Below are 9,174 nucleotides of genomic sequence, written 5' to 3' on the forward strand. Positions count from 1 at the left end.
CATTACAGATCTCCATTTTATTTGATTTAATATATATTGTTTCATATATAACAAATATTTATTGCATGTAGGTTACCGGCATTGTGCAGACCTCTGACGGGTGGGCATTATAAGCCTCAGCGTGAGGTGAATAAAGTAAATATTGTTTCTTCTCTCATGGAGTATATGTATCAACTATACATGTTACTTATTTATCTGTATGTCTGTTTTGCAGAAGTTTCTGGGACACCTTAACTTTAAGTATTTGCTTTTCCCAAAGGGAAGGAGATAATAAACTTTTAAATTCCAAAAAAACCGCATACTTCCAGTGATTCTATCAATGTAATAATAAAATGTATGTAAAGTAAAAACATAGATAATTACATATAATAAAATATTGATAAATTTTGACCCTGTATTTAGGCTGAGGAAACCAAGGAATGTTTGATTTGCCCTAAGAAGAAGCCTAGCTTTGAGGAAATTCTGTTTTGGTGACTTTTTCCTCTTCAGACATGCATGGGTGTGTGATAGACGTTACTGCTGTGCACTCCTTTTTGGTCCCCGTTCCCCTGCTGGGGCACACTCTGGGGGACGGTGATGTCTTGACTGCTTGAAGTTAGATGTGTCCATGTGACTAGCTCTGGTGAGAAAACTTTCCAACTCAAGGTTTTACCAAATGCCTGAAGGACACCCACCAGCTCTGCTCTTCCCCTGCTGGGCAAATGCAGAAATCCCTTCATGCTGAGAGCAAAGCTTCTTCAGTCTGGGTCCCAGAGTAACTACTGAGCAGAGACTCACCCTCCATCCCTCCACCCTAGCTACTACTACCCCACACCCACATCAGACATGAACATAAGTGAAGAATAAACCCTTACTGCTTCAGCCACTAAGATTTGGGACATTTTTGGTGACCACTGCCAACCTAGCCTATCCTGAATGGCACAGTGAGCAACTCCAGCTCCTGACTGGCGCTGACTTTCCAAAAGAGCAAAGGAACCTTCCAAATATCTAATGCCTCTACTATGACAGATCTCCATGCTGCTGCCACTTTCAATGGACACTGAAACTCTTTTAGAACAGAAAGGCAACATTGTAGGGCAGATTATATGAAATGCCTGGAGAATGAATTCCTTCTGTGATTTCTAAAGACTGTTTGTATTTAGTGCCAAATATTTGGATGACAAATGAAAAATTCAATCAAACATCTATGTGTTCTCACATAAATTCTGGTTTGATATCAGACAAAACATCTGGTTTATTGCTGAGACTGGAAACTGACCACTGGGCATTTAGCTTTGTCCACAAATAGGCCTAAAGTCAAGGATACAGTCTGAGTTTGGACATAGAAATACTCTGTTTGGTGAAGGGAACCAGAGATAGACTTACACAGAAGCAAACTAGATATTTTGTTAAATGTTTTATAGCTCCAGAAATGGGAGAAGATTCTTCTTGTCCCAAAAGACAGCCCTTAAAAAAATCCACTGGTTTTTGTTTGTTTGGGTTTTTTTGGTGTGTGTGTGTGTGTTTGTGTGTGTTTTAACCTGGGAAGGACAGCTTTTATTTTATTTTAAATTTTTTATTTCCATAGGTTATTGAGGAAAAGCTGGTGTTTGGTTCCATGAGTAAGTTCTTCAGTGGTGATTTGTGAGATTTTGGTGCACCCAATACCTGAGCATGTACATTGAACCCAAATTGTAATCTTTTATCCATCACCCCCTTCCCACCTTTTTCTCGTGAGTCCCCAAAGTCCGTTGTATTATTCTTATGCCTTTGCATCCTCATAGCTTAGCTCCCACTTGTGAGTGAGAACATACAATGTTTGGTTTTCTATTCTTGAGTTACTTAACTTAGAATAATATTCTCCAATCTCATCCAGGTTGCTGCAAATGCCATCCATTCATTCCTAAAAAATCTACTGTTAGTAATAGACCCCTTTGTATTTTGAAAACAAAATTTCTCTTTTAAAGTACAAATATGGCTGAGAGGTGTCACAATATTTTATCATTAGATACTTGAAAATCCCTGAAGAAGAAGGTGTTTAGGTAAGCTGGGGCAGGTTGTAAACTAGGAACCGAGATAATTTGGGAAAATATGAGGAAGGAAGAGGCAATTTCAGAGAATGGAAAAAAACTGCTCAAATTAAGTAACAGAGATCTCCCAAAGCTCTTTTCTTTTATATGGAGATGAAAGTTTATTTTTTCTCCTCCTAAAATGGGATTTTAATTTAAAAAGTTACAAATGGATTCTAGAATTACACACACACACACACATACACACACGCACAGAACCTTTTTCATAATCAAAGACACTGTATGTAAACTATGAATAAGAAAGTTGATCGACACTACTTTTGAAAAAAACCTTGACTTTTATATGTTTTACTTGGGCCACTTTTCCACGCTAAATAATACTTCAGGGCTAGCCAATAACTTCTACTTTTTAATGCTCTTTTTCCAGGAATTGATAAATTTAGAGAGTCAGTGTCTGTAATGATGGCTCCATTTCTCTTCTCTAAAGCAGGGAGCCCGGGCCTGCTTCACAACTGCCCGTTAGTCTTGTGTCTGCCTGAGGTCATCTGCTTTTGTTCTGGGAAATGTTGCTGCTTCATTGCTGTTGGCCACACAATAGGATCACAAAATACTTCAAGGTCATGTACAGTGTCCTCTGGAACCAAGTGGAGGAAACTCGGTTTCCTTCTAGAATCAGTGAAGCTTCTGGTACAAAAGGTCACTATTGGCTACAACCTCTTGTGTGGCTCTGGAGCTCATGGAGGAAAATAGGCCAAGCAGACAAGGGTGTGGAGCAGGACTTGGCCCCATGCTGATGAATAATCATGACTTACATGTCACAGATTTTTATCTAATGGAAGCATAAAGGATTTTAAATCCCCATACTCCCATCAACCACTATGCAGCTAATTGAAGCTTAAAATGCTGGGCATTGTTCCTACTGTTTCTATTGTGGCCTAGGAGGGACATTCAATAGAAAACATGTAGAAATTTCTGGGTGGAGATAACATTTCAATTCACTTGATTATAATCAGATTCCTGCATCTAACATTCCTTCCTTAAATCACTGACAATGAATGATAGTTTTACATTATGTTTCGCAATGCAGTTCATCCAGTCTCATCATTGTTAATAAGTATTAAAACTCCCAAAGACCTGTTCCCTCTCTTTCTACCCCAGTGTTTTGTTTTTATAAGCAAACCACTGCTGCCTGTTGAGGTAAGCTAATAATAAATATTTTACTATAGGCAGTAATCTTTTCTTCGTTTTTGTAATGTGAACCCAAAAGTATCTGAGGCAGGACTCAATCAATTTAGAAAGTTTATTTTGCCAAGGTTAAAGATGCACCTGTGACACAGCCTCAGGAGGTCCTGATGACATGTGCCCAAGGCGGTAGGGGTACAGCTTGCTTTTATACATTTTAGGGAGACACAAGTCATTAATCAATACATGTAAGATGTACATTGGTTTGACCTGGAAAGGTAGGACAACTCAAAGCATGAGGAGGTAGGGGTGGGTGTTCCAGGTCCTGGATAGATTTTAAAATTTTCTGATTGGTAATTGGTTGAAGGAATTATTATCAATAGAAAGGAATGTCTGAGTTATGATAAGGGGTTGTGGAGATCAAGGTTTTATTATGCAGATGAAGCCTCCAGGTAGTAGGCTTCAGAGAGAACAGATTGTAAATGTTTATCAGACTTAAGGTCTGTGTTGTTAATGCTAGTCCAGTTTTTCCTGAATTCCAAAAGGGAGGAGAGTTTAATGAGGCATGTCTGACCCCTACTTCCTATCATGGCTTGAATTAGTTTTTCAGATTAACTTTGGAGTGCCCTGGCCAAAAGGAGCGGTCCATTCAGATGGTTGAGGGGCTTAGAATTTTATTTTTGGTTTATATTCATGAAAAAAAAATCCATTTCCCCTATGTCATGAATGTCCTGTTATTTCTGATTTCCAAACTTCAGTGGTGCTGTCACTGGTATTGACCATTTGACTTTCTGCCTGTGTTGGAGGAGGCAGCCTTCCTTGGGCTTCTTGAGTTCCTACATGTCTTGCTGGGTGAGCCAAGACTGCAAGGCCCTGATACTCAGGCCATTTCTCACACTTGTTTATGCAGCTGGTTACCTGCAAGATGAGGTAATGTATCCGCCTTCAACAAAGATCAGGCTAACTTTCTGCTTGTTGGAAAAGCAGTGGGCTCCCCAAACTCCACTGCTGCTTGCTGTGCTGTAAATCACAAAATCCTTCATTTCTGACCCAGGATCTTGTATCTTCTGCTACACTTCTGGGAAAGCATTACAGGTTCATTCTATAGCTTATAAGTGAAATAAATAAACTCTAGACTTGGTAGACTATACTATCTGGAATTCTTTAATATACATGCATTTTCCCCCTAAATAGATAAGCCTCTTGAGATAAAGAGTCTGAGACCTCTTTGCATTCTCATTGGTAAACATATCATAAATATTCAGTAAATGTTCATGGGTCACAATGACAAGATCAATTTATACCATGATAGAGTTAAATTTTGATATCAAGACAACAAAGAAATCATTGCCGCAACTTGCAATGCCGTAATAGAATGCCATGTGTTGCTCACTTCTTACTCTTCTTAACTCGTAAAGTGGATGCTACCATTTTAAGGAGAGGTTTCTCTGTAGGAGACAGATGTAAAGAATTAGACTCTAATAAAGATATGCTAAGAATATTGCATACATGGCTACTCCACCCTTCTGTTCCCATCCCAGTGACAAATAGCTTCAGGCAGAACAATCATTTGCCATGAAGAAGAAAAGCTCACTTCAGAGAAAATTAAAAGAAATGAACAGAGCTGCTTCTTCTCTATATTAGTACAACAGCAAATCTTTCTCTCCCCCTTTACCATTTTCTGAGAAGGGAGTGGCAACTTTCTGTGAACTAAAAACCATCCAGTGGCTGTTAAAGGAGCCCAGTAGGAGCAAAGATTCTCTGAGTAATAAATTACTTTATCTTTTTGAGGTCGAAAACACTCATTTCTCTATCGAGTAAATATATGAACTAATTTTCTTATTTAAACAGACAAATTTACAATACTAAAATATGCAACAACATACCTGTGTTATACTGACATTTCCAGGGAGCCGACTCACTGGTGTGGCCATTGTGGGAACTTGCCTGTCAGAGCAGGGAGCATAATTGACCAAGAGATCTTCTACCTGGCTCTGAAATCCATCACCACATTTGCACCACAGCCACACTTCCCATGTGCTGCTCTCCATCAGTGAATGAGTATGACAAAAAAATCCCAAATTCCTGGGACATGTGGGACTCCTCTGATGGGTGACTTTGGTCGAAGACTCCCCAGTAGCCTTGTGGAACTTTCCTGGCAAGCACACATACGTCTAAGATGCTTCTAGACTTCTTGATTTGTCACTTGGGGGAAGGTCTGTGTTTTATGGATATGTAGGTCCCTTCCCTTTCAAAGAAACCAATTAGTGCCTAGATCATGTTACATACTCAATGTGTGTTCATTGAGCTGAATGTCAACTGCTTTCTCCATTGCTGATTATTCAATGGGGAGCTCAAGTGAGAGTCCACCAGTGGTGATTGCTTTAGCTCTTTTGCCTTTTCTTGACTGCCAACAAATATTATAATACTATGTAATTTTCTGTACAAGTACTTTTTTAAAAGACAAACAATAATGATTTAAGATTAGTCAACTGAGTCTTTGAACTTAGAAGTATAACTGCAGGCTCTGAGCACAGAAACAGATAACACCTATGAGTTTTCCCTTGAGTTCCATCCAAAGGGAATACTGAACTCCACATTCCATCCTCCTTCTCAATATGTTGCAGCATTTTCTACATTATCTTAGCATCTTTCCCCTCATACTCAACTTACTAGGATCCATTGGGATGATTTGTGTTTCTGTGTTAGAAAATTACCTTTTCCTCCCCTGGGATTCACATCAGTTGCCCCTGTCTTCACAAGCCTTCTGCTAAAGGCATGAGACTGTTGGAGATTTAATGCCTAGACTCCTTTGAAGTGAGAGCAGAGACCAGGTCTTGTCCTTTCATGCTGACATCTACAAAGCTATTACGGGAAAAGAAAGACTTACAGCTGCTGCCAAATTCTGTTAGCCTCCAGCCCTTCTCTCTTGCCTGCATCTGTGTTTTAAATTGCACTGGAGATACACAAGCAGACTAGAGAATTTATCTGCATGCAACAGTGTCTCAAATGATCATTTTAAAGCTTCCTAAAAGCAGCATATAAAATATTGGTGTTCTTTTAAAACATCTTGATACAACTTCCTATAAACAAATTCAACTGTATTTAGTTGCTAGTTTCTATAGAATTATTTAAATTGGCAAACCCTCCAAATTCTGGTAGAGTGGTGAATTTTGGTGAGAAACTTTTGGCCATAAGGTGAGGCAAGGCTGAACATAGGCCTCACTGTGTCTTCTTTATTCCTGCAAAATATATTACCTCTTCGTTGGATATATATAATTGTACTAGATATAATTGACTATGTTTTGACCTTAATTTTAAAGTCATGGCAAGAGAAACTCTCTAGTCTTAGGGCAATTTACAATGTTTCATATGAGAAATTTGGCAGCTCCTCAAGCACTGGGAGTAAAAACACTCAGCAAATATTTCTGAGGTTCCTCTCTGGCTCATTTGTCTCTGTATGCCTATAGATATGGTGCCTTATGGGGCCATCTCCACCAGCATTTTTCATCATGAGGATGCAGAGAATGGTCAGTGAGGTTTACAGCCTCCATGTGTAGCCAGGTAAAAAGCATAACAGTCGCCCATCTGCTTTCAGATCGCCTAAATATGGGATTCTATCTCTTCCTCTTGCTGTGAATCCGTCTGGGAGGTAAGCATAGATTTTTCTCTAGAGTCTGTCTTATCTAAACTCTCCTCTCTAATTCCCTTCCTTTATTCAGCTGGAAGCATTTTATGAAGTATGGAGAAGCAGTGTGTTGTAGATGACAGGAAATACAAGTTTTACCTGATTGAAACTTCCATGTTTTTTCTCCTTTTACATAGGAATCTAGTATTCTGCATTAAAACATGAAAAGAAATATTAATTTTGTTCTCTATTTCTTTTTTATTATTCCAATTCAGAGAAAACATCCATACTCCATTGAATGGAGATAAATTTGTATGTGTTTGGGGATTCTTGCAATATTCCACATGTCAGCATGCCACCTACATCAAGACATGATCTTCAAAAATAAATAGGTAATTCATAACATATACAAAAATTAACTCAAAACGGCTGAATGTGCCTGATGGCTCATTCCTATAATCTCAGCCCTTTGGGAAGCTGAGGTGGAAGGATCACTTGAGGCCTGGAGTTTGAGACCAGCCTGGACAATATAGCAAGACTCCATCTCTAAAAAAATTTTTCTTCTAAAAATTAGTCAGCTATGGTGTTGTTTGCCTGTAGTCCTAGCTACTCAGAACACTGAGGCAGCAGGATCACTTTGAGGTTGCAGTGAGTTGTGATTGTGCCACTGCACTCCAGCCTGGATGAGAGTGAAACCCTGTCTATTAAAAAATAATAACTCATTATTATCAACTTACATGAAGTTAACAAACAATGGACCAACAATGGAAATATAACAGCTAAAACCAGAAACTCTTAGAAGAAAACATAGGAGTAAATAAATCTTCATGACCTTAGATTTTGACTATGGATTTTTAGATCTGACATTAACAGCATAAGCAACAAAACAAAAAATAGATAAATTAAAAACTTTTGTGCATCAAAAATCATTATAAAAAAAGTGAAACTATAACCTACAGAATGGGAGAAAATGTTTTCAAATTATTTATCTTATAAGGGTTTAATATCTAGAATATTTAAAAAACTCCCAAAACTCAACGATGGGATGACAACCCAGTTAAAAATGGGTAAAGGACTTGAATAGGTATTTCTTGAAAGAATATATACAAATGGGCAATAAGTGCAGAAAAAGACCCTCAACATCACTAATTATTAGAAAAACGTAAAATCAAAACCACCATGAGATGCCAATTCACACCTACTAGGATGGCTATAACTTTAAAGAAATGGAAAATTATAAGTGTTGACAAGCATGTGAAACAATTGAACCCTATGTTGCTAATGAGAATGTAAAATGGCATAGCTTTTGTGGAAAAGATGATTTCTCAAAAAGCTAAACATAGAATTGACATTAAGACCCACACATTTCACTCCTAGGTATGTACCCAAAAGAATTAAAGACAAGAACTCAGATACTTATATGCCCAATGTTTATTGCAACATGATTCACAATAGTCAAGAGGTGAGAAACAACCCAAATGACTATAAGCAGATAAATAAACCAAATTTTGTACATATGTAAAATGGAATATTATTCAGCCATAAAAAGGAATGAAGTTCTGATATATGCTACAACACAGATGAACCTTAAAAATATTATGCAAAGTGAAATAAGGCAGATACAAAAGGACAACTATTGCATGGTTCCACTTACATGAAATATCTAGAATAGGCAAGTTCTTTGAGGCAGAAAGTACATTAGAGGTTATCATGAGCTGGTATGAGTGAAAAATTGGGAGTTATTACTTAATGGTTACAGAATCTCTGTTTGGAGTAAAGAAAATGTTTTGGAAATACAGTAGATAGTGGTGATGGTTGCACAACATCATGGATGTAATTAACACCAGTGAATTGTACACTTGAAAATGGGCAAAATGGCAGTAAGTACTAGATAAATAGGTGACTTCATTCACCTATACCAAGTAGACTAGCAGGATTTGAAAAGTGGGTTTGAGTTTTAGTTTAAGCCTAGCAGAAATGAGTATTCATTCCCAGAAAAATAATTTGAGAGTGATTTTTTTTTTATGAGACAGGGTCTCATTCTGTCGCCCAGGCTGGAGTGCAGTGGTGCAATCTCAGCTTATTGCAACCTCCGCCTCCCAGGCTCAAGCCATCCTCCCATCTCAGCCACTGAAGTAGCTAGGACTACAGGCACGCACCACCATGCCCAGCAAATTTTTGTATTTTTTGTAGAGATGGTGTTTTGCCATGTTGCCTAGGCTGGTCTTGAACTCCTGACCTCAAGTGATCTGCCCACATCGGCCTCCCAAAGTACTGGGATTACAGGCATGAGCCACTACACTTAGTAAGAGTGATCGTAATAGGCAAAATGGAAACATCAGCACTTTATAAGAA

At 38.3% G+C, this 9,174-nt stretch overlaps 1 annotated feature.

The window, feature by feature from the left end:
* Positions 2,348 to 3,145: an enhancer, noted in NCBI's record as "NANOG hESC enhancer chr8:68796257-68797054 (GRCh37/hg19 assembly coordinates)". NCBI's record gives its function as "activates a minimal SCP1, AML or CMV promoter by ChIP-STARR-seq in naive H9 embryonic stem cells {active_cell/tissue: H9 hESC(naive)}" and the evidence as "EXISTENCE:reporter gene assay evidence [ECO:0000049][PMID:30033119]".

This window comes from Homo sapiens, chromosome 8 (assembly GCF_000001405.40).
Source record: "Homo sapiens chromosome 8, GRCh38.p14 Primary Assembly".
NCBI classification, from domain to species: Eukaryota; Metazoa; Chordata; class Mammalia; order Primates; family Hominidae; genus Homo; species Homo sapiens.